Here is a 25,469-nt window from a genome sequence, read left to right as displayed (position 1 = left end):
CAAAAACACTCTTGTCTCCAAGGTAACATGATATGCTGGTTAGGAGCCTTAAGAGTTCTCAATTCAAACATATGAGGAACTTTACCTAAGTATAAGTTAATTACTTGAGTTGGACTTTCACAAGGACAAGAGAGTATAGCAGTCTTTTAATGTTTTCACTAAGATTATCATTCAAGGTATTTCTTGATAAAATTCAAAAAGAGGTTAAGTTTTCAAAGTAGTAGTATTTCTCATCTAGGAACTCAAACAGAAGTTATTGTTAAAAATCTAAAACATAAATTGAAACACCACATGGATGATTCTCAATATAATTTTTCTGAGTAAAAGAAGTCAGACAAAAAAAGTACACACTATGATTCAACTTATATAAAATTCTAGTACAGGAAGAGTTATGCTAATCCGTAGTGACAGAAAACAGATCAGTGGTTGTCTGGGATGGGGACAGACAGTGGCGGGAAGGATTACCAAGGAGAAACTTTTGGGGGTGACAGATACATTAACCACTTAGTGGTCATGGTTTTACAAGTGTATGCATATGTTAAAACTTACCAAACTGTATACTGTAAACATGTGTCACATACACCTGAATAAAGGTGTTAAGAAGGCCACATAAAATTCACTATGCCAAATGTTGTAGTATCTGAGATAGTGATTGACTGACTTTGCAGAGAAACTGCCCATTTGAAAATTTAAAGACAGATACAAAGTAGTTTACAGTTAGAATTTGGAATCTGGAAAAGGTATGAGCACAATATTGTATATGACATTATAAAAGGCGTTCTTCAAGTAGGCAATGATGTGCGTGAATGGTCAGAAAAACTCCGTGCTGACATTTTTATGATCTATGCTTTTTCCACTATAGTTTTCTTTAAGAGTCATGCAGGCTTTATGTCCTTTGATAAAACACAACAAAAAATTCTTAATATACAAACAGCAGCACAAAACAAATGACGCCTCTCCTAGACAGGCTGAAGGCAGCAGTCATGAGGTGACTAAGCACATGGGTATCTCTCATGTTGAGGGTATTTCCCAGCTGCCAGACAGTGGTAGGCATTTAACATCTACATTCTAATCTTTAGGACGACCCTGACACGTAAATATTATCAGCTTTATTTTACAAATGAAGAAACTATAAATTGTTAGGTTGAGAAAAGGCATCCTCACAGGACTATCTTTTAAGAATATACTGATTTTTTTTTTTTTTTTTTTTTTTTGAGACCGGGTCTCACTCTGTTGCCTCGTCTGGAGTGCAGAGGGGTGATCACAGTTCACTGCAGCCTCAACCTACCAGGTTCAAGCGATCCTCTTGTCTTAGCTGCCACCACACCTGGCCTTTTTTTTTTTTTCCAGTGGAGACAAGATCTCACTATGTTGTGTTGTCCAGGCTGGTCTCAAACTCTCGAACTCAAGCGATCCTCTCGCCTCAGCCTCCCAAAGTGCTGGGATTAGACATGAGCCACTGTGCCCAAACAGAATTTACTGATTTTTAATGGGCTCTAGCCCCTAACAGTAGAATTTGAGGGTATGCTTTTAATAGCCACATTAATGGGATTTTCATTAATTGCATAATGAAAATATGCAAAAATTGGGTGAACATAAATAGCACACATTTTATGATGACATTTAGAGAAGGCTTGCTCATAAAGTTATTAAATATAATGGGATACATTCACACATCTACACCAAATCACTACAGTATTGTGACTTGTAAAGAGTTTATCTTGGAAACATAGCCAAGGTATTTGAGTTTTTGAAGTGGAAACTGGGCTTCATAGTGTGATTACGTCAACTGTAAGGTGGTTCTATGGCATGGAACCTATGTCCAGGAAGGTTACACTCTTATTTCTGAAAAAGGGTATTCTTTTTCATTTGTTATTCCAACAGAGTAGGCAGGGGACAGGTGTTGGAAAGGAAATACAAGAATACAAAAAAGGTTGGTCAAAATGGCTTTTAAAAGAAGGCTTAGATTTCACCAGCTCTAGACGACTGCTCTATGCCTGGCTTTAATTTAAACAGGCCTTGCATGGTTTGCTGATGATGAGCTGGCCAAAGATAAGCCTCACAAATCTGGAGTGTGACTTGATTTCTACGCTGTGAGGGAAGGCCCCACTTCTCTCACCAAGCTCTGTGCTGGCTGCTGCAGGCCCAGGAGAGCCCCTGGACAGCAGAAAGGAAAAAACAAGGAACAGCATTTGAATACAGTCGAAGCAGAGGACTGAACCTGACTGCAAGCCAGGCCCTAGGGTTCACCGCACGCCCACTGTGGTCAGCAGCCAGTGGGGCTCTCAGGCCAGGCAGTTCCCAGAGTTGCTGGTTGGACTGCTCAAGACACACAGGACCAATTTCTCACAGTTTGAATCATGAGTTAGAGTGTGACATTACAATGTGCTCTTCTATACTACTTACCAAGAAAAATTGGGATAGCAAAGGTTTTGGGAACTTGTGATATTAGAGGATGCCTTCCAGTATTTCAGTATCTTCAAAGTGCTAAATACTCACAACATCTATTCATCAATGCAATTAGTGAGGTAGGGAATAAAATGTATAAAAAGATATAGAAAATTCCATGGATATCGCTTTAAATTTTTTCTTTTTTAAGCCTTTCATTGCTAAGAGCATATATGCAGGCTTTTCATTCTCTAAAGGTGGTTATTATGGGATGACTGGGGAAAATAATATGTGTATATAAAAGTCATTCTACCTGCAAATTATATAAGAAATTTTCATTATCTAGGTAATAGTTGTTTAGAAAGAAAACAGAAGTTATTTCTCATTAGGGAGGAGTCTAATTGCCCCAAATATGGCCTGGGACCCTTTGGGGATCACTCCCTTTGAGGTGGGGCTCACCATCCTGTCTTATTCCAGCACCTAGCACAACATCTGCATGGGACAGGCCCAGTATTTGAATAAATAAATGAATTAATCCAAGGACAGTATATAAAGAGAAATCAGGAATCAGTAAGTTACAGACTTCAATTATGGCCAAAGAAGCAGTGCAAAGTAGAATCACTGCCCTCAAGCAGCTTACAAAGGGTTTGGGAAACAAAGCACCAGCAGGAAATCCCAGTAAGGAGCTGCAGCAGGCATAAGGTACAGCTGGAGGCTGCCTTGTTCCTAGGGCTGGCTCATTCTCCTGACAGTCAGACCAGTCCCAGGGTATTGAGTTACCAGTAAATAGGGAAATGGAAAGAGCAAAGAGAAGTTCAGAAGCTCCTTTACTATAATCTTTCAACTTACAAACCTTGAGGTTAAGAGCAATGCGCTCAGCATAAACAAAGCTGCCTGATGTTGATGGACGCACACACAGTGAGGAAGACTCATCTGGCGTCACTCTGGACACAGGGATGAGGGACTTACAGACAGCCCAAGGGCAACTCCCCACACGGACAGCAGCCTCTGCGGGACAACCAATACTTGGCTGCTGTAACCACCTTAACAGACCCCCAGCATCTAAGCCATGTCAAAGCATAACTGTCTAAAGCTAAAAGACATAACTCAGGCAAGTAGTAATAAGCAATGGCACGTAAGAGACAGGGAAGCTGGATCAGAGCACTAGAGGAGCTCAAGCTCACACAGTCCATTAGCAAAGGCACATTGGAATAAGCAAGGTAAGCTGGAGACAATAAAACCATAATCTTTGCACAGAAATAATTCGCATCTCGAATCTACAAACTAGCATATAACATCACAATGTTTGTACTCTAATGGAGAGTAAGCAGCAAAGCCAAACAGAGGTAAGTCTGTTAGAAAATTAAATAATCTTGGGTGAGTCTGAAACAACAGCCCAGTATGACAATACAAAACACAAAGTCTTCCTTTTTCTTGTTTTATTTCCAAGTACAAAGTAATTTTTCTTTCAATGGTAACTTCTGGCTGGGCCTGGGCCCAGGCTCTCCCAGTGATGTTCCCCCATGGCTTGTTGTGGAGTATCTGAGGTCTATTTTTTCTTCTCTCCTCTCCTCCCCCGCCTAAAAAGTGAAACTCATAGGGACCTCTTAAACACCAGTTGGGTGAGAACAGGGACCGAAAATCCCAAGAGATTAATATTTATCCCTTGCCAGCACACAGGATAGTATCTGCTGAAGGTTTATTATTTATGAATGCACAAACAACCAGGTGAATAAATAAGGGTGGGTGCCAGTTAAGTTGGTCTTGATGCTTCAGATGATCTCCATACAGGGGTCATTAAACTGCTGAGCTTTGCAAGAATTCCCAATCACCGATAAAGACTCTCATCTTGACCACACTTTTGCTAGGGCCTTGAGCCCTCCTCTCTACCAGGCCTCAATCTGGGGCTTGTAGCAAGAATCCTGTTAAGTCAGTTTAAAGAGAACCCACCTTTGATATCTGGCTACCTTGGCCTGCTTTCAGCAAGAATTTCCCTATCCCTGATGTCTTCCCTTAGAAATTTCCCATCCCCTCACCCCTTCACTCTGCTCCTTGGTTGTAAATCCCCAGCTGTCTTCACTGTATTCAGAGCTAAGCCAGATCTCTCTCCTTCACTGCAATAGTCTTGAGTAAAATCTTCCTACTGTTTGAACAAATGTTAGAATTTTAACATCGGCACCTCAAAGAAAGCCTATAGCTATTATGCACTTTAGAATTTCTAGGAATAGATGTCTAGACTCAGGGTGCCCTGGAGGATACCTCAGAACAGTCGGGCCACAACCACTGGTGCCAGCTGATGTCACAGGGGAAGTGGGAGAATAATGGGTAGAGTTTTGTTGATAAAACGAAAAGTTCCAGAATAAAATGCAACAGTCCAGATTCTAACTGCCACTTAGTAACAGTGAAATTGTGGTACAATTTTATTTATAATTGTATTATAAATTTGTTCATCAAACATGTTTATCAATTGCCTAAAGTTTAGTAAAATCAGCCCAATATGTCAAAATTCTTAAATTATCACAAATTTTAAAACAAAGACATAAATTTTAGGGAGGTTTTATTGTATTTATAATTTTTATAAGCTAGATTACTTTTTAATATTGGGAAATATATTAATTTGTAAAAAAATCTGATCAAAAAACGAACCATTTGCAGAAAATTCAGAGAAAACACAAGAAAAAATTTTTAAACATTTTACATATTTCAGCCTTTTTCTACTATTCACTGCTTCTAAAAATTGAGATTATACTTTTATAATCTGTTTGTGTCTAATTTGTTATAAATATATTCCCAACTCATGATGTCACTGTTCTCCTACAGTGTCATGTATAACAGATGTACAACGTGGACGTAAGTTCTTTAACTCTGCTGGAGAACACCTGGATTATTTCTGATATTGCACGCCATAACTAAGAATATGAAACGCATCCTTGTATATAAGTCTTAGACCTCTGATCATTTCCTTAGTATGTTAGGAAGCTGCTGAGTCACGGCATAGGCACATATTGGTAGTTTTTCTCCAAAAGCATTGCATCAAGAACAGACCCACTTGTAACTCATGAATATTCAGCTCTCTTCAACAATACCAGGTAATTTTATTTGAAAATAAATTTGGCTTACTCATTCAGCAAGCACCTTTATGTTAGACATTGGAGTAGTCACTGAGCTATGAACAAGACAGATGAGATCCCTGCCCTCCAGCAGACAACAGTCTCTTGGACACGAGTGTAGGACAGAGAAGGTAAGAGTGCTGGGGAATTTTCAGCAGGGAAAGCCAACCTAGTTTAGGGCTCTAAGACAAACCCTGAGGAGAGGGTACTCAAGGCAAGGCCTGAAGACAGGCAGGTGTGGCCAGAGGAAGGCATGAGCAACACGGAGGAAATCTTTTAAAGGTCTGCAAGGTATCTTTTTTCAAATTATTAGGTGCTCAAAACATCTGCTCTATTAAGTAGTTTAATCTAACTTGCAATTGTATTTATAAATTTGTTCATCAAGTGTAGAAATGGGGAAAAAAAACTCACCTTCAGTATGTCTAGAACCTATTTTAAGGGAAGATGAAGAGATGAGATACTGCTGGAGGAGTTGGGGCCAGATGAATGAAAGGCCTGGCAAACCATGCTAAAATGTCTACGCTTCACCCAAAGGGAAACAAGATGTCACTAAGGACTCAAGCAAGTGCATTTCAGAAACACTGCTCTGCGTATGTTCTGGGGATGGGTGGAGGCAGACAAGACTGGAGTCAGATGGTCCATCGTGAACCAGGTGCTATGGCTGTTCAGCATCCACTCTCCCTCCCTATTCTGGGAGAATCCCAAGGCTAGAGGGATGCAGGGCCACTTCCTATCACAGAAGAAAAAGAAGGGCAGAGAGACCCTCTTCTATCCCCCCAGAAATACACTAAGAACATGAGATCTAAACTCAACCAAATTCCCACATTCACTCATAAATACTCATTCAGGATTTACTGTGCTCCAAGGCCTATGTTAGGAGCTGTGGATACAGCAATGAATAAGACAAGATCCCCAGCTAAGACCATGAACCCTGAGGAAGGAGGCAAACAAAGACTCGGAGTCCTCTGAGAAGCAGAGAGCTTTGGTTGGGGGCTGTAACACATATATCAAAATGTACTCAATTGTCTAAGTGTGTGCAGTCTACTCCAAAAGTCCCATGGCAGCCCCTCTAGTCCCACTGGCCCAGATTAGAGCACATTATCAGTTTTGTGCAGCCTCTTAAGTCAAAGACACATTCTAGCAGCAAAGAAGAAGGCAGGAGTCACTTTGGGGAGGCAGCAAACTTTGTGTCAGGTGAAATCACCTGCCTGAAGCCACAAGCAGTAATTAACAAGGAGGGCAGGATTTGAATCCATCTGACTCCAGATCCCAGCTGCCTTTCACTAGGCCACAACCCTCACTTAGCACTGCTGTAGATTAGTGATCTGGTCATTGCTGTGTGCTGCCAGTGGGGCAAGGGCCTCACCACAGAGCCACCCTGTGGGATGTTTCCTTACCCAAGATCTCTCCTTCCTACATTATTCCCAGTCACCAGCCTATCGGTGGGCTCTGAGAGGAGGATCAGGAATAAAAGAGACTCTCTGGCTTTTCCCAGCAACCCAGAACTCTGGTGCCCTTGGCCTTTCCTACCCACACTGTGCTCTACAAAACCCCTTAGAGGCTGATGCAGCATAAACAACTTACTCACAAGACACTTATTTAGGCTTTTATTATCATCTACGGACTACCTTTCTAATCAGTTCTAACAATTAGCTCCTAAACCCATAGTAGAGAAAAATATAGAAACTTTGGGCAGGAAAACTGACAGCAGTTAGAAGTGCTAACAGCTGACCCAAGGAAACAATAGGACAGAAAACTTTAAAAACTGGAAAGATGCAAAAACCCCCAAAGGAAATAGCTGTATATGCCTCAATAAGCCTAACATTACTATTCACATCACAACATAACATTATATCTAAATGGTCACTTGAGAGCATTGAGGAAAGTTTACATCACATTCAGCACATTCTATTTAAGAACACAAGAAATAATATACTTTAGGAAGATTCCCAACCTAAATGGGATATTTTGGTGCTTAATGGGCAAAAACCTAATCTAGCCAGAAAACTCCTCTGCTATTCAGAAAGTTAATATGCTCTTATCATAGTTAGCCATGGTTTTACTGTAAATGACTTTATAATAATTTGCACAAATCCAAATTAAATTAATTCTTTGGACTAAAGTCCTAATAGGAACAGTATTAACACTGCCCACTTTTATAGAACCTAGTGTGTAGATATATACGGATGTGCACAGATAGGTATTAATATATGGAAACACCAAAAGATATAATTTGGTCCATCTTATATTAAATGTTCTATAATAAGAACTGATAAAATAGATTCCTCTTTATTAATATTTGTTTATAAGCAAAACAGTACTCAGGAGCTGGCTTTTTTGGCTAAGGGAGGCCCTGATTTACTGTACAGCTGAAGACAAATCATTTAACCTCTTTGTACATCACTGATGTCCTTATTTGCAAAAATAAGATAATTATTTACTTCTCATATTAGGGAAATTTAAAACTACTACTAAAAAATTCCTTAGAAATACCTATCTTTGCATAAATAATTTAAACTTTAAACATGTTTTAAATCTGAAGATTTTCCAACAGAACACAAATTACAATTATTTATACTCATTATCAAGTTCTATAAAAATAACTGGTGGCATTTTCAAAGTAATAAATCAAAAGTCACAATAAATTCCTGTGTGAATTTACACAGTGTATAACCCTAGTTTCCATGGAGTTAAGAGTTGCTTTTATGATTTCCATTAAGCGGACTATCCTTCTTAACATCAACCTTTTCTTAAAGGGAGTGGCAACTCAGCAGTGAAATAAATCTAACAATACAGGCATTTAAGCTTGCAACAAAGAAGTTACAAAGATCCTGTCCAACATGCTGAGTTACTAAGCTCTGACATCTCCCTCCTGACACTAGAGCTAAATAAAGTCAGGTTATGGCAGGAACTTGATCAGTTCCATTCATTCACATTTTGTTTCTCCAGGCCTAAATAAAAAGCACACACCAGAAGAGGAAGAAGTAGGAGGTAGGGAAGGGAAGGTGTCTGAAGGACAAAAATGCAAATCTCAAGGCTGGATATGACAAATAGCCAGTTTTGCAGGGATCTAAGCTGTGAAAGACTTGAAACATACCATTTGGAAACCCTCTTTTCAAAAAAGAATACAAATTATAAACACAAGATCTCTGAGGTCCCAGAGCCTAGGTAAGGGCCCATGCAAGTGACAGACCTAGAAACCTGAACTTCATTAGCTTTACAGTAAATCTGCCCCATAAATGGTATCCAGATTCAGGTTCCAGGATGGGGTAAAATCTCAGAATGCTAAAAACTACGTTACCCCAGATGTCACCTACTGTAGTTTTCTCAGTGGGCCACAGGTGATCAGAGATTTCAGTATGTCTGGAAGATTAGGTGGTTAGAAACCAAACAAAAAAACTGGAAGGTCAAGGTAGTCACAAAATGGGGTGTGTGTGGGGGTGTGCGTGTGTATGAAGATGAGCAGTGAAGACCCCGACCCAGCTATGGTGTTGGTGCTTTTCAAGAATACAACTGGTAAGAAGGCTCAATTAGAGTTCCAAAACAAAAGGAATGGCAAAGTCAGGGGAAACACTCACTAATGATGGAGCTGGGAGATGGCAGAAATGGGATGAAGAAGGTATCAGAACACAGAGTGTGAAGGCTGTAGTGGTGGCAGAGGGTGGCTCCTAACAGCAAAGTCCAAAGATGGGCAGGTCAAAGAGCCTATGTGAAGGGGAGGCCAGAGAAAGGTCAAAAACAAAAGCATGACACTAGACACGGAGGAACTTGGGAGTACAGCTGCGGATAAGATGCTCTCACATACTCAGGAGATGGTGGTTAGGACCCTGCTGCTCCAGATATGGTCCCCATTCTGGGCTTTTCCCTCTCGGCACTTCTCTATTCAAGGGCTCAAGCCATCAGAAAGACTACCCTCTCACTTCTTTACCTCCAGGTTCTCTCCACTACCATTTCGGGGTTTCCAGTCCCTGAACGACGACAAAAGCCTTTTTGTCTGTCTGCAGTCACCCTCATCCCCACCCCTATATCTGCCAGACTGAATCTCTTTAACGCTAAGATCTGATCACATCACTTCCTTGCCCCACATTCTCTTTAGCTTCCTTCCTGCCATTCCCCATCCCTAACCAACATTTCTTGTCTCACAAATGCTCAACTCCTAGTTCCCCAAATATGTCAAGACTCTGAAACCTTCATGTCTTAAACATTTATGTTCTTACTGCCAGGAATAGGCTCTCAACTCTCGTTCATCTCCCAACTCCTACTTAAAACTCTGCTCAAATCCAACCTTTATGGAAATTTCCTGGACCCTCCTGGGCAAATCACCCTCGAGGGACCCTTTTCTTTCTACATTGTGGGATCTGCTTGACGCTCAGTGTTATCCCACGGGTCTGCAAACTCCTTGCTGGCAGGGAACCCTGTCTTTCTGTCTGTCTTTCCCCCAAGAGCTGGGGCCCTGATTCAGGGATAGCCCACAGATGATGGGAGAAAAGTGAAGAGATCAGAGGATGCCTCTCTCTTCTAGAGACGACCAGAAAAGTCGTGCAGCTACGAAGGATAACAGCTCTGACCCAAAAATGACATATAGGAGCCAAACACACATCTTAAGGGAGGGAGTAGGGGTCAGAGGTGACCTCAAGATGGGGCAGGCAAGGCGACGGTCGCGAGGTCGGGGAGCACGCAATGACGCGGACCAGGGCTCGGCAGGAGGGTTCTGCGCAGGGACAGGGATGACGACGGGCTCGGCAGCGGGGACGCGAGGATCCCATGATGTCGCAGCCGCGGTGACAAGGACAGAGGCACGGCCAGGAAGGCATCGGGACCGGGCAGAAGCCGAGGGGCTGACGCGCGCGAGGGTCGGACGCGGGTAACGGACGGTCACGCAGGCCGGGAGCGGCCCGGAAGACCCGCGGGTGCCCTCGGGCCCGGCCCTACCTAGAGATGCGCCAACACCAGCCGCAGACGCGCCCGCTGCACCCTAGGCCCAGCCGCCTCAGCCACCGCCACAGCCGCCTCGTTCACTTCCGCTTCCGCTCAAGGCGCTTCCGCTCGGGACTTGGCCGGGTTCGCAGAGGCGGGGTCTGCGTGACCGTTGCGAGAGTGAGGAGCGCCCGCGTCGTGGGTTGGGCGGGGAGAGAGGCGCGCAGGCGCGGACAGCGGACGCGGCGCGCAGGCGCCGGCGGCGTGGGACGCCGCGGCCTGTTGCCACAGCAACTGCTCTGGTGCTGGCGGACCTCGGGTCGCGCAGTCAGGTAGCTGCCCGCTGGCGTCGGGCGGGTGCCGCCCTTGAACCTCTTTGTTCATACACTGTCCTGCGGCCCGGACGGTGTCTTGACGCTGCATGCCGGTCTTTGTCCTGCCGGAGGCACTGAGGACTGGCGGCTCCCGGGGCCTCAGGCCGAAGTTGTGCGAGCGCGGCCCAGGCGGGTGGCCCTGAGGCCGGGAGCCTCGCCTGGGCCGGAAACGGGGACAGCGGGGGGCTCCTGCACAGGGGACCCGCCGCGCGCTTCCCCGCCACGTTTGGGGAGGGAGCGGGGACGTCCTGGCGTTCGACCCTCGCCTCCGTATCGGGACGGCGCGGCCCCAGTCAGCGCTGAGCACTTCTCGGCCGGGTGTTCTGACCGTCACCATTGTTGCTCTGGACTACTCTTCAGCTGAAAGTTGTTTCAGGCAGGTTTGCTAGTCCGGAATTGGGTGGGAGAGAATTCCAAGGAGAGAGAGGAAAGGCAGAGGCAATGGCAGTGAGGGAGCAGGATGCTTCAGAGGAATTCCAGTGGCTGCTGTGGATACATGGTGGCGGGGACAGGGGAACAGGTGCCACCTGATCGTGCAGGTCCCTGTCGTCATATTCAGGAGTTTGGACTCTGCAGTCCACAATCTCAGTCTTATTTCTGCAGCTGCTCTAAGATGGCGAAACTCACCTTCAGGACATGCTCCCTTGGGCTAGGAGATCAGGTGGGCTCCGGGTGATGCGCAAGTCCACCCCTCTAGCTGCAGTTCCGCCTTTTTCTCTACAACCAAGCAAACATTTTGGCAGGCACGTGTGAGTGACGACCTTGAAACCAATCTGATTTATTTTTCTGAAAAGTAAGTTATTGACAAATGTCAATTTTTAATATCAACTTATTTAGGATGTATCTCCAAACCTATCCTTACACACAGTATGTCTCAGCAAGGCAGCTATAAGCCCTGGTGAGCTAATGAGTCTTCCATCAGGAAAGTAAAATGGTCAAATATTGTTCTAGGAAAAACATTCTATTGATTTTCTTCAGAATCTCTAGCAAAGCACTTGATCAGGTACTCAGAAAACATTACCAAATTGAAGTGGCACCACGTATGCATTAAAGGATTTGGGAAGGAATCTCGATTCAGCATACAAGGCTTACGTTTCCTGATGGGCTTTTCTTTAAGTAAAATCAACAAATGGTGTTCAGCACCTATTGCTGATTAGTGCTGTGGGGTGACACCAAGCAGTATGTGAAATGACCTCTAGTCTTAAGGAGTGCTCATCGTGGTTGGGGACATAAACTAACATACTTTAAATACTAGGCAACAAGTGAAACATATTGTAAGGAGTAAGGGTTGTAATGTTTCTGTCCCCCGCCCCCCCCAAGTTCATAGGTTGAAATTAATCCCAGCGTGATGGTCTTTGGAGGTGGGGCCTTTGGGAAGTGAATAAATCATGAGGGTGGAGCCTCATGAATGGGAATAGTGCCATAACGAGGCCAGAGAGCTCTCTTGCCCACTTTCCACCGTGTGAGGATACAGTGAGAAGATGGCCTGCAACCCAGAAGAGAGGCCTCACCAGAACCTAACCATGCTGGTGCCTGATCTGAGACCTCAGCGCCTCCAGAGCTATGAGAAATGAATTTCTAAACCCAGTCTATGGTACTTTGCTGTAGCAGTCTGAACAGTCTAAGACAGGGATGAAAAAGCTTCAAGGAGCAAGTTTGTGAACTGAGCCTGGAAGGAGGAGTAGGATCTGACAAAGGGTTAGAAGAGGAAGGACTCCAAGCAGAAGGAGCAAACCTAGGAAAGAGACTGAGGGAAAAATTCAGGAGACCAAACTCTCATGCGCAGGAGGTTCATGCTGAGGGGAGCAGGAAGCAGAGCTGGACTGGGGAGGCCTTGAAGGCAGGCAGAGCAAGGAGCCCCACCAGGTGACTGCTCATTGGCCTCCCAGATGGATTCGATGGTATCGCTCAGATGATGGAACAAAAAAGAAAAAGAGAAAACACAAATGTGACATGTGAAAAATAGGAATGAAAGAGAAAGATAAAAGAGAAGGAAAATCTTCCCAGGTCTAGAAGATACATTCTCGTATCGAAAGGGCCCAGCAGGTGCCCAGCACAACAAACCTAGGAAGACCAACACCAAGGCACATCGCCACAGCATTCAGAACACCAAGGATAAAGAAAAGATCTTCAGAGTTTCCTGAAGGAAAAATGAAAAGGTCACATTTAAAGGACTGGAAATCAGAATGGCATGGAAATTCTCCACAGAATCCCAGGAAGCTGGAATACAATAGGGCATTAACTTCAAAATTCTGAAGAAAATAATTCTAACATAGAATTCAACTCTCACTATATTAGCTGTTTGTGGGTAGGATGTAGATATTTTCAGATATCCTTATCTCAGAAAGCTACTGGAGGATATTCTTCTCCAAAATTAAGAAATTAGCCAAGAAAGAGGATAATATTTGGGACCTAAAAAACAGGAAGTCCCAGCTTAGGAGAGAGGAGAAGGGAAGTACTAGGACAGAAGCTAGGACTTATACAGTAGGGGATAGAGGCCTCTAGGAGAGATGTTTCCAGAAGGAAGTGAATCACATGGAATGCCTGTTATGGATGAATATCTTAAAAGGGATCTTCAGAATTTGATGATGATAAGTAATAGCTAGATAGGAAAGTGAATAAGGAAATAAATGAGGCCATTATTGAATCTAGTGAAAACAATATGCAAAAAAGGATATAGCATATGTCTTGGCTGTGAATAAATATGTAATTATAACAAGATAATTGCTGAATGGGAGTTTAACCCAAAGGGGTGTTATAATTATTTTTGAAAAAAGGGAGGTGACCTTACGTGTGTTTACATAAATGTGCATGTGTCTAGGAAGTGAGGGTGGGAGAGTTAAATCCTTGTCTTCTAGAGTTAGGAAGTCCATAGACTATACGCACAATTGAAAAGTAAGGACAGAACATTAAATATGTGTTCTTAGAAAATATGAGCATAAGGCCGGGCACATTGGCTCATGCCTGTAATGCCAGCACTTTGGGGGGCCAAGGTAAGAGGACTCTGTGAGCCCAGGAGTTGGAGACCAGCCTGGGCAACATAGTGAGACCTCATCTCTACAAAACATTTTTAAAAATTGGCCAGGCATGGTGGCATGCACCTGTAGTCCCAGCTACTTAGGAGGCTGAGGTGGGAGGATCATATGAGCCCCAGAGTTTCAGTCTGCAGTGAGCTGGGATTGTGCCACCACACTCCAGCCTGGGTGACAGAGTAGGACGCTGTCTCACACACAAAAAAAGGAAAAGAAAGTAGAGTAAATTCTCTCATATACAAAAGAAATATATAAGAGATAAATGTAAGAGAAGGAATTGGGAGTGGGAGTGTGTGGTGTGGGCAACTACTATTTTTGTTAACAAATCTAGAAATACCATTTGAATTTTAAGATTATAAATATTTGATATAAGGAAAAATTTTTAAGTTTTAAAAAGTTATTCACTAATACAAGTGGTAGTAAGTGGCACGACTGTCACTCAAATTCCAATCTGTCTAAATCTTGAAGCTTTAAAAAATTGTTATGACTACAGTACACTACAGCAAAGGGAAGGAAAAGTCAAATATTACTTCAAGGTCTCTTTCCTGGGAGACTACAAGAAAAGTTGCATGCAGAAATCAGTGTAACAAGAGCAAGAAGAGTTACGTAGGATTATCCACATCCTGCTTCACCTCCTGCTTCATAGCTCAGGCAAGCACTTCCCTGTGCTCTGCTGTGCACAGCCAGTTTATCAGTGTGGGAAAAAATCTATAAATAGGATGGAGGTTTACATAAAAGAGAAACATAGGAAAAGAAAGGGGAATAAAAAAGAAACTGTAGAGCGAATTTGGGGGTTAATGCAGAGGAAAAAGCTAAAGTGAGAGACATCACATCAGCTGTGAGAGAGAAACCCAGAAAATGAATGGCAGGGGCATCTGGGACAGGTTTCTCTTGGTAACAAGTTGACCCTTTAAATAGACTGCAAGATGTATTTGCAGTTTTTATTTGGATGCTGAATGAAATTTCTTTTGAGTATAACAACCACATGAGCTCAAGATTTTATTTGGGCAATGATATGGTTTGGCTGTGTCCCCACCCAAATCTCATCTTGAACTGTAGTTCCTATAATCTCCACATGTCATGGGAAGGACCTGGTGGGAGGTAATTGAATCATGGGGGCGGTTACCTCCATGCTGTTCTCTTGATAGTGATTGAGTTCTCATGAGACCTGATGGTTTTATAAGGGGCTTTTCCCCTGCGTCACTCCACATTTCTCCTTGCTGCTGCCAGGTGAAGAAGGACTTGTTTGCTTCCCCTTCCAACACGATTGTAAGTTTCCTGAGGCCTCCCTAACCATGCTGAACTGTGAGTCAATTAAACCTCTTTCCTTTATAAATCACCCAGTCTCAGGTATGTCTTTATTAGCAGTGTGAGAATGGACTAATACAGCAAATTGGTACCAGGTAGTGAGGTGCTGTTGTAAAGATACCCAAAAATGTGGAAGTGACTTTGGAATGGGGTAACAGGCAGAGGTTGGAACAGTTGGGAGGGCTCAGTAGAAGATAGGAAAATGTGGGAAAGTTTGAAACCTCCTAGAGACTTGGAGGGCTCAGAAGATAGGAACAGGTGGGAAAGTTTAGAGCTTCTTAGAGACTTGTTGAATGGCTTTGACCAAAATGCTGTTAGTGATATGGACAATGAAGTCCAGGCTGAGATGGTCTTAGATGGAGATGAGGAAGTTGTTGGGAACTGGAGTAAAGGTCACTCTTGCTATGCTTTAGCAAAGAGAATGGCAACATTTTGCCCTTGCCTTAGAGATCTGTGGAACTTTGCACTTGAGAGAGATGATTTAGGGTATCTGGTGGAAGAAATTTCTAGACAGCAAAGCATTCAAGAGGAAGCAGAGCATAAAAGTTTGAAAAATTTGCAGGCTGGCAATGCAATAGATTAAAAAAACCCATTTTCTGGGGGAGAAATTCAAGTTGGCAACAAATTTGCATAAGCAATGAGAAGAAGAATGTTAATCACTAAAACAGTGGGGAAAATGTCTCCAGGGTATGTTAGAGACCTTCATGGCAGCCCCTCCCATTACAGGCCTAGAGGCCTAGGAGGGAAAAATGGTTTCTTGGGCAAGGCCCAGGCCCCCCCTTTCTGTGTGCAGCCTAGGGACTTGGTGCCCTGCATCCCAGCTGCTCTAGACATGGCTAAAATGTGCCAATGTACAGATCAGGCTGTGGCTTCAGAGGGTGCAAGTGCCAAGCCTTGGCAGATTCCATGTGGTATTGGTCCTGCTGGTGCGCCAAAGACAAGAACAGAGGTTTGGGAACCTCCACCTAGATTTCAGAGGATGTATGGAAATGCCTGGATGTCCAGGCAGAGGTCTGCTGCAGGGGCAAAGCCCTCATGGAGAAGCTCTGCTAGGGCAGTGCAGAAAGGAAATGTGGGGTCATATCCCCCACACAGAATCCCCACTGGCACACCACCTAATGGAGCTGTGAGAAAAGGGCCACCATTGTCCAGACCCTAGAATGGTAGATCCACCAACAGCTTGCAAAGTGCACCTGGAAAAGCTGCAGACGCTCTATGCCAGCCCATGAAGGCAGCCAGGAGGGGGGGGTTTACCCTGCAATGCCACAGAGGTAGAGCTACCCAAGGCTGTGGGAGCCCACCTCTCGCATCAGTGTGACATGGATGTGAAACATGGAGTCAAAGGGGATCATTTTAGAACTTTAAGGTTTAATGACTGCCCTATTGGATTTTGGACTTGCATGGGGCCTGTGGTCCCTTTGTTTTGGCCAGTGTCTCCTATTTGGAACGGGTGTATTTGCCCAATGCCTGTGCCCCAGTTGTATCTAGGAAGTAACTAACTTGCTTGTGATTTTGCAGGCTTATAGGTGGAAGAGACTTGTCTTGTTTCAGACACTTTGGACTTGGACTTTTGAGCTAATGCTGGAATGAGTTAAGACTTTGGGGGACCGTTGGGCAGGTATGATTGTGTTTTGAAATGTGAGGACATGAGATTTGGGAGGGACCAGGAGTGGAATTATATGGTTTTGCTGTATCCCCATCCAAATCTCATCTTGAACTGTAGTTCCCATAATCCCCACATGTCGTGGGAGGAAGTTTCTGGGAGGTTAATTGAATCATGGGGGCAGATACCCTCATGCTGTTTTGGTGATAGTGAGTGAGTTCTCATGAGACCTGATGGTTTTATAAGGGGCTTTTCCCGTCCTTTGCTCTGCACTTCTCTTTGCTGCTGCCATGTGAAGAAGGATGTGTTTGCTTCCCCTTCTGCCATGATTGTAAGGTTTCCTGAGGCCTCCCCAGCCATGCTGACCTGTGAGTCAATTAAACCTCTTCCCTTTATAAATTACCCAGTCTCAAGTATGTCTTTATTAGCAGCATGAGAACAGACTAATACAGGTAACAATTGACCGTCCAAAAATTAGGAAAGACAAAAAGCCAAAACCATGAAAACATACTGATTTCTACATAGAGAATGCACATTAAATGCTGCTGAAGTGTTTTATTGCTGATAAAAGGTATCATGTAGAAAGACAATGTTCCTCTTCTTATGATCATTGTAATGGTGAAGATGTCTGGTACTGCTGCAGACATCATGCAGTCAGGAAATGGAGTGACTGACAGGGCATGGATGTCAGAGCAGAAAGAAGGAGAGCACTTGGGCCTTGACGTGGCAGAGCCACTACATCAACCAGCACTCAAACCACCTTCTTTCCTGATTATAAGAGAGAGAATCTTCTTTATACATAGTCAGATAGTGAATCAGGATGTTCTGTTACAACCAAAAGTGTCCTGTTCTAGCTTCCATCCAAGAAGGAATAATTCCTACAGAACTGGTCCTCCCACTTTAAATAACTAAAAAACTGGACAAAAATACAAAATTACTATTTTCAGACAACAGACAACAGGAAGTAAAGGATGGAGAATCTTGAAAGGAGGAAAACAAATGAGGTGAGCCTAGTGGCTGCCCCATCTCTGCCTAGAGCAGGGAAAAATCAATGACACAAAAGACTGGTTCTTTGATAAGACTGATACAACTGATAAGCCTATAATACTCTGATCATAATCTCTCAAGAAGAGAGAAGACACACATTGCGCATCCCAGCAATGGAAGACAGTGTCACTACAGAAACCACCTGCAGTTAAGGAATAAAAGAACATTTGAACAACTTTAGATAAGAAATTCCTTGAACCATGCAAATCACCAAACCTGAACAAAGAAGAAGTAGAAATGATGAGTAAGCCTATATTAATTGAAGAAGTTGAATTAAGTAAACAAAACAAAACAACAACAATAAAAAAAACCTTCCCACAAAGAAAAGGCCAGGTGCTAATAGCCTCACTAGTGAATTCTATCAAACTTTTAAGGAGGAAATAGCAATCCTACACAAACTTTCAGAAAATGGAAAAGCAAGAAAGTCTTCCCCAACTCATTTTATAATTCACCTGGTGGCAGAGACAGGTCCAGTTCCACTTTGGGTCCTCAGCCCCTGTGATGAGTCAGGAGTGAACAAGCCAGTGAGGAAATGAAGTGGCCTTCTACTTCCTGCATGTCTTGCCCTAGCCCACCAGCTCTAAGTCAGTGTGGGTTCCCCTCTGCCTGGAGAGTGGTTGGCTCCTTGGTGCCCAGATGCCTGAGCTCTAGCCACTGAGAAATGAGTGACAGCTGGCAGGTGGTGGTACTTTCTAACACAATCAGTGCCTGGGACCTTCGCAACCTGCAAGCAGCCTCACATCTTGCCTCAATCAGCTTATTAACAGGAATAAGAACAGTCTCAATAGTAGAAAAGCAAATCATAGTTTGTGATGGTTCCTAAAAAAAATTCAGACTCACCAACTAGGCTACTACTGATCCCCCAATGAATAAATTTTGAAGGCATTGTATGATCATGAGTTATTAGTGATGATGACCGACAAATATGCCACTCCAGTTCCCATTTTACTAAAAGGAACAAAAAAAAAAAAAAAAGAAAATATTGCATCTTGAAAACAAATCTTGATGGTGATCCAGAACTATCCCTGTTCTGTTTCCTCATTGGAAGTGGTGGAGAGAGGGAATAGGAATTACAATGACAAGAATGAAGGAAACTGTTGAAAGCAAGGAATGCAACAATAGAAACTAACATTCTGAGATTAGGAAATATGTTGATTTGAAAGTGAGAAAATACTTGCCTAAATTTTGTTCCTTCTTTTTTTTCCCCTCTGATACTTGGATACTTGGGCTGTTTATTGGGGTCCCTTTCTCTCCAGCCCATTTATTGGAGCAGGGCTTTGCAAAGCCGGTCTCCTAGCAGCCAAATGCAGAAGGCCCATTCATATTACAATGGAAGGAAAGGAAAGAAAGAGCTTGGTTTGTTTAAACTGCCTCTGTCTTCATTCACAGCCTGATGTCCATGTGCATTGTGAGTCCACAATGGCACTAAAGGACTCATTGTGGCCGAAAACAAATCAAAATAAAATAAGGGATGCTAAGATAAAAGAGTCATGCAACAAAATTGCTTAAAAAATCTAAGTCTTACATCTGAGATTTATGTTACCTTTTGGCTGTGTGGCCTATTGACCGGTATTTATAACAACCGCTAGAGTTTAATAAACAAAAAGATAAATGGGAACTTTATGTACATTTTTAAAGGCCTTACACAGAAGGGGTGGGTGTGCTGGGTTGCTTGGGAAGCTGTTTAATAATTATTGTTCTTTGTTTGCACAACATTTGGGGAGCCACACTCCGCACTTTGTGTTTATTTTCCGTCTGATAAACATACCCTCCCTATGCCCATGTGGGCCAACAGCTCCCCAGCACGGGCCCCCAACCTCCACCCAGCCTGAACCAACATTAGAGGTTGCAATAACCCACGCCCAGTGCAGCCGGCAACAGGTGGAAAGTTGAATAACTTCACACGTTTTTCGGGGGGAGGGGCGGGGTGGGCTGGAGGGAAGGCTTTGGGAGCCGATTTAAGGATTAGATCAGATGTTATTGCTAGTGAAAAATTAAACAGCCCGGTGCTCTGGGGAGTACAGATTAATATATTTAGTGACTCTGTGCACACAAAGGCCGCTCATTGTGGCCACGTCTGAATGCCTGTGAATGGGATGGAACGCACGCAGCCGGTCACCGCAGGTGCCCACATCTGTTCTCCCCGGCAGATGCTCACAGAAAGGGAGGCGGGGGCGGCGGGGAAGCACGGCGCGTTCGAAAGCTTCCACGGCCGCGCTCTCCGGGACTCCTCTGGAGCAGCCTGGGGGGACGCGGGGTCCCGTGGGGACATTCGTGAAAGGGCGTGGAGGAAACCCTGAGCCGCACACGCCCACGGCCAACCAACCCTGCAGCCAGACAGGCCCAGGGGCCACTCCAGAGGCTGTGTCAGGCCCTGCGGGTGCGCGCCACGTTTCTGAGTTTATTGTTTGCGAGCCTCTGAGCTCTGGGCCTTGAAGCCCCCCGCGTGCCCCCGCTCCCGGCAAGCTGAGCCCAGCGTGGGTGATTGACAGGCCGCCCTGGGAACCAGGAGCGACAGGTGCCGCGACCTCCCTGTGGTGGGCACGGCCCGTCCGCCCATCGCCCCTCTCAGCGCCTTTTCTTCCCCATTCACTTTTTTACAAAGTCACAGGCTGCGATTTCCAGGTGCGACGCCTCGACCCCCCGGATGCAGCCGGAAAGGAGCCGCCGCGCGGAGGCGGAGGGTGGCGGCCGCAGGGGGCCCGTACCGAGGGGCCTGGGCCGGAGACCCCCACCCCGCGCGGGCTCCTGCAGCACCTCCTGGCGTCGGGATCCGGGGTCTCGGCGGGCCGCGCTCCTCTGGGAACGCGCGGTTTCCGCTAAGAGCGCACAAAGGGCGCGCCCCGGCCCCGCCCGCCGACCCCGGCCCCCAGGGCTCCGAGGTGTGCGCCGTCGCCTCGCACAGCCCGGGGCCGGGCCGGCTGCACCCGGTGAGGTGGGAATGCGGGCACGAGTCCCGCACGAGGCGGCGGCCGGGCGCGAGGCTGCGTGGGGCCGTCACGACGGCGACTGGGGTCCACCGGGAGGGCCCTGGCGCCGCCCTCCGCCCTCGCAGTGGCCCAGGGATGACCCGCCGCACGGCCGCGCCGCCTGTGCCCTCGCGCTTTGGGCCTTGCACTGGTGCCCCTCGTAATGCTGCCTGGCGCCGCCACCACCTCCAGGAAGCCCTCAGGTGCGCTCACTCCCCGTCGCGGATCTCAGCGTCCGGCAATCATCGCACTGAAAACAGCCCCTCCCTGGGACACGCGGCCTCCTTCTAACCCCCCAACACCCGGCCCCCCAGCCCCGGGTCCCGGCGCGTTCAGTCGGCACAAAGTTCGGAGGGGCAGCTCCGGGGTTCGCACGGGGCGGGCCCGCAGCAGCTGCTGCGGTAATCTGATCCCGGGACAAAGGCGTGCCCGCCGGTGCTCCGGCCGCAGGTAAACACGCGCTTTGTCATGGAGATGGGGCGCGGGACAGCCCCAGCAGATGATCCGCGGGTTCCAGGGGAAGGAGCCGCGGCGCAGAGGAGGGGGCGGGGGCCCGCTGCCGAGCCGTCATCTGCGCCGGGGCCGCCAGCTGAGCCACGCGACCCGCCCGTTCTCATGCAAATCAGCACATGCCTCCGCTGCTCGCAGCGGGCCTGGCCTCGGCCCCGGGCTCCACGCACGCGAGAGGTGGGCGTCTCGCGGGCCCGTGGCGCGGTTCGGACTCCCCCCACCGCAAAACGACCCCCCGACACGAACCAGGTGGGGTTGGAGCCCGTCTTCCTGTTCTCTGCACGGCCGCGGATCCTGAGAAAGGAAAAGGGCGTGTGGCGCCGGGACCCGGCCGCACCGGGGAAGTCACTCGCCGGGTCTCCAGCGGCGCAGCCGCGGCCAGCGGGGAGGCTTAGGAGCCGCTGCGGGGCTGATTCCTTCGCCCCCGGCTGCTGTTCTTGTGCCCCCACCGTCGCCCACCTTCGCGCAGAGCTGCCCGCGCCGGGGGTCGCGCTCCTGCCCGCTGTGGAAGCGCGGCTGCCTGGGGGCCGCGCGCCTTGTGTGCACGCGGGCGGCGCTCACCTCCTTCCTGCCTGCGCCAGCGCTGGTGGAGCCTCGAGGTCCAAACATAAACCAGATCGATGCCCCCTCCCTTTTCCAGGCTGTGACGAACGATGGCTTCGTGGGCTTGTAAGTCCACGCGCGGCAACCGAGTGTGAACACATCTGTGCACCCACTTGGGTGGGCGTGGCTGGGCAGGGGACATGGCCCAGTGAGTGTGTGTGTTGGGGGGTAAGGTCTATGTTCACGTGTCCAAAGACAGCTTTAAGAAGTAAGCAGCAAGGAAGTAACCATGATAGCTCCAGGACACAGAGGCTTCGCCACGGACGCCTCTGAGAACTTCCCGTGTGGCAGCCAGCAGGTCCATTCCTCTGCTACGTTAACTGCTTTCAGATTCCAAAACTGACGGAAGGAGAATGGGCAGAGGGTGGTTGGTGCAGATGTGATACCAATACTAATTAATAAGCATGGTCTACGTCCCCTTCTTCTTCTTCTTTATTTCAAGTAAGCTGGCATGTTTGATCAACACCAGATTTGCTGCCTGGAAGTTTTTTATCTTGTTATTCTGAACAAGGACCCTAATTCTTCTTACGAATAAGAGAACCTCTCTGTTGGGTATACAGTATTCAGTTGGTCTGAGAAAACACAAACCCCACTCAAGTCTCCAGACTTGTTTACACAGAAAACTGAACCTGTGGCTGGCCTAGAGTCTGAGCCTATTCTGGGCATTGTTTATTGCAATCTGCCCAGGCCCTCCTGCCCCCACCACAGTCACCACCACACACGAACCTGGAGAATAGAACCTTTCTTTGGAAAGGGGGGTTGGAATAGGATTGAGTGACCATGGTATTAGGTCATGCACACACTGCTGAGGATGGCCGCACTGGAATTTGATAAGATGATGGCCATAAGCTTTTATTCCCAGGTGGCCTCATAAAATGGTGGGGAGATACTCAGTGTCTCCAGCAAACAGAGAACTCCACATGTGGTTGCTGTGGCTGCAGCTCTGATCATTATACAGCCTGAGCTTACCCTAGACACTGGGGTTACTCAGCCTGTGGGGTTGTGCTGCCCAGAAAACAAAACAAAACAAAAAACACCACCACCAGGCAGCAAATTCCTCCTTCCACTTCTGTGTCTGATGTATTGGGTGCCTTCTAAGCCCTAATGAGCCTCACTTTGTACAGTAAATTTCCTGAGACATAAAAAAGTATTTAAAAGAAAGTTTCCTGTTTTTTCCTAATGAGCAAGGTGAGGATTTATAGTGTGGGGAGGAGGGACTCCGGCAGCCGGGGCCAACACTGAGGCAAGCCTATTTAACATACCCTGGCTTAAGCTCCCTCCTGCGTTTGTGGGGTTCAGAGTGCTTAGTTGTGGGAGTATAGAGACATGCAGTTAGGGAGTGAAAAAACGCCATTTGGTTCGGAGCAGATGGCTGGCTAGGGGGCTGATGGCGTCTAAAGGCGTGTCGTCCCCTCCAGCTCGAATCCCTAAGGGCTCCCCTTGTCTTCCCAATCAATGAAAATTAAAGTGCAAAGAAAGGATGAATAGTTGGACCTCGAGTCTCTCCTTTGTTCATCCCAGCTACTGGTGCGCAGGAGTTAAACTACAACAGGCTCCTATAGAAACGCTGAAGTTAAACAGTCTCCCCGTTAGCACAGCTTTTTAAAGAGAGAGGGAGAGAGGAACCAACTTGGGGGTGGGGGGAGAGAAATGGGGGAGAGGAAGAAGGAGAAGAAGGAGGAGAAGGAAGAAGAGGAAGGAGGTGGAGTAGGAGAAAGAGGAGGAGGAGGAGGAAAAGAAAAAGGAGAACAGGAGGAGGAGGAAGGAGAGGGAGAAGAAGAAAAGGGCTTTCTGCTTGATTTCCCCAATACAGAATCGCGTGGCATAAATTAAGTTGGAAAAGAATGAACGCTTTGGGCAGGATTCTGATGGATTTTACGATGCCTTTCAGTTCCGCTTTGCCGCCGTAATCGAGAAATCTGTGCCATGTCAATTTAACAAATACTTGATACTGAGGGGGGTTTGTTAGAGATTTGGGGCAAGTCTTTTTCCCCCCAAGGTTTAAGCCCTTGCGCGTGGAACTTTTTATTTCCAGTTTTCTAAACAGGCATTCAAATGAGCCTGTTTTCCACTTCCATTTTCTAATTAAAAGGTTCCTGATATTTCATTTCTTACTGAAATCTACACTCAGTGTTGCAGGCAGAGGATTCTGGATTCTGACCTCGCATTCTCTTCTTTTTTTACATTTCTTCTGCTCCTGAAACCCTTTCACCTACCCTCACCCCCACCCCCAGCCCCCAGCACAGGGAACAGCTCCTGTGCCTTAGGGAAGCAGAATGCTCCGAAGTCAGCTTTTGGAGGAAACATCAACCTAGAGAAAAAAGGATCCTGACACTAGGTGGCAAGATTAAATTAGGATTTGAGCTGGCCCCTCCCTGTGGCGACAGCAAGTCCCTATAGAGTCCAAAAAGGACACCATCATGGGGGTGGCAGCATCTTCTGAAGCCTCCATTTGCTCTGAACCAAACAGTAGGGGGTTCACGGTGATCCCAGCCTGCCTTTCTCACCTGGCACTAAACATCATATGCTTGTTTCTTGTGGTTAACTCTTCGCTATTCCATGAGGCAACAGTGGAAAACCTAAAGTGGACATCTCTGTTGATCCTAAAACTTTACAGGTATTTGGGAAACAAGGTAGCAGGACACAGGCTGGGTCACTTGAAGAGGAGCCGCAGAGTAGCAATTCCAGCTGCGTAGCAGCCGGAGGGCCTGCCCTGGACGACTTCACCACGTGACCTTCAGATTTCTGGCTGCAGTGGTTGTCCTTGGTGTTTGAAGACTTTCCCTCTGCTTAGACACTTTGATCAAGACATTTGCCGGGATGAAAGTCTCGTTCTACCTTGACGGTGCCCTGTTCTCACCAATAAGGCAGCTCTAACACACCTACAGTGAGGACACTGTGGCCAGGCTGCTTCCTTGGGGCTGAGCTACAATCAAAGGGGGCACTCCAACACTCACCTGGAACCCTAATGAAGCTACGGAGGTGTTGGGGGTGGGCAGGGATCCACGGGCGGGATGGTAAAGAGAGGGAGAAGTGCAAAGCTAGGTGCCAGAGTAGGAGTCTCTGCCCCAACTTACTTCTCCATCGTGCCTAGGAGGGCAATTTAGATAATTCATTGTGTCATACGTGTGTTCTCGGCCCTCCCAATAAACTCATTTCCCTTTAAAAAATGAAAACAAAAGTTCTAGTGTCTGATGGACGTGTAAAAACCTAATAAGGTGACGGTTGTGTAAAGGTTGTGGGTTGGGGGCCGGGGCTGGAGGGGCTTTAGAACATGCGCCGGACATTGTTGCAGAGGCCGCGGCGCGCGCGGAGGGGAGCTCTTTCTCTCCGCATTGTGCGGGGAGCAGGTGCTGTCTGCATTACCATACAGCTGAGCGCACAAAGAGCCACTGATTCAGCCTCGCACAATAACAGGCTGCCTTAATGACAGCCACGCGAACGACACACACCAAACTCACTTCTTACCAGGCGGAGGGAGGCCGAGGGGGATACCCGGGAGAGAGGGGCCGAGACCCGGGGAAGGTGGCGGCGGCCGAGGATCCTGTGGGGGAGGGCGCGTGTCTGTGGGGGGAGTTGAAGGCCAGGTTCTCCTGGCTCCGGGGATA

The 25,469-nt window shown here is 46.7% G+C and overlaps 1 protein-coding gene across 15 annotated transcripts in view, besides 2 other annotated features; it reads right to left on the bottom strand.

The window, feature by feature from the left end:
• FAM120B (family with sequence similarity 120 member B) overlaps positions 1–25,469 on the bottom strand; it is a 116,365-nt gene that overhangs the window by 89,795 nt on the left and 1,101 nt on the right. For 13 of the 15 annotated variants that reach the window (XR_002956306.2, XR_007059342.1, XR_007059343.1 and 10 more), the window contains exon 1: positions 10,431–10,515. The exons of 1 other annotated variant lie outside the window; for it this stretch is intronic. Coding sequence is in view for 1 of the 14 variants with exons in the window: in NM_001286380.2 (NP_001273309.1) it covers positions 21,820–21,867 (48 nt within the window). In the remaining 13 variants the exon portion in view is untranslated. Of the gene's footprint in view, positions 1–10,430; positions 10,516–21,819; positions 21,953–25,469 lie in introns of those variants that run through there. One more of the 15 variants, NM_001286380.2, reaches the window with a different exon arrangement.
• Positions 12,495–12,664: an enhancer, noted in NCBI's record as "experimental_91390 CRE fragment used in MPRA reporter constructs". NCBI's record gives its function as "activates a minimal promoter by MPRAs in K562 erythroleukemia cells, with activity observed for both the introgressed and non-introgressed 6:170613782 variant alleles {active_cell/tissue: K562}" and the evidence as "EXISTENCE:reporter gene assay evidence [ECO:0000049][PMID:34662402]".
• Positions 20,979–21,606: an enhancer, noted in NCBI's record as "OCT4-H3K4me1 hESC enhancer chr6:170604755-170605382 (GRCh37/hg19 assembly coordinates)". NCBI's record gives its function as "activates a minimal SCP1, AML or CMV promoter by ChIP-STARR-seq in naive H9 embryonic stem cells {active_cell/tissue: H9 hESC(naive)}" and the evidence as "EXISTENCE:reporter gene assay evidence [ECO:0000049][PMID:30033119]".

This window comes from Homo sapiens, chromosome 6 (genome assembly GCF_000001405.40).
Source record: "Homo sapiens chromosome 6, GRCh38.p14 Primary Assembly".
In the NCBI taxonomy this organism is placed as follows: domain Eukaryota; kingdom Metazoa; phylum Chordata; class Mammalia; order Primates; family Hominidae; genus Homo; species Homo sapiens.
The sequence above is the reverse complement of the archived record's forward strand: the minus strand, read 5'-3'. Positions and strand labels throughout refer to the sequence as shown.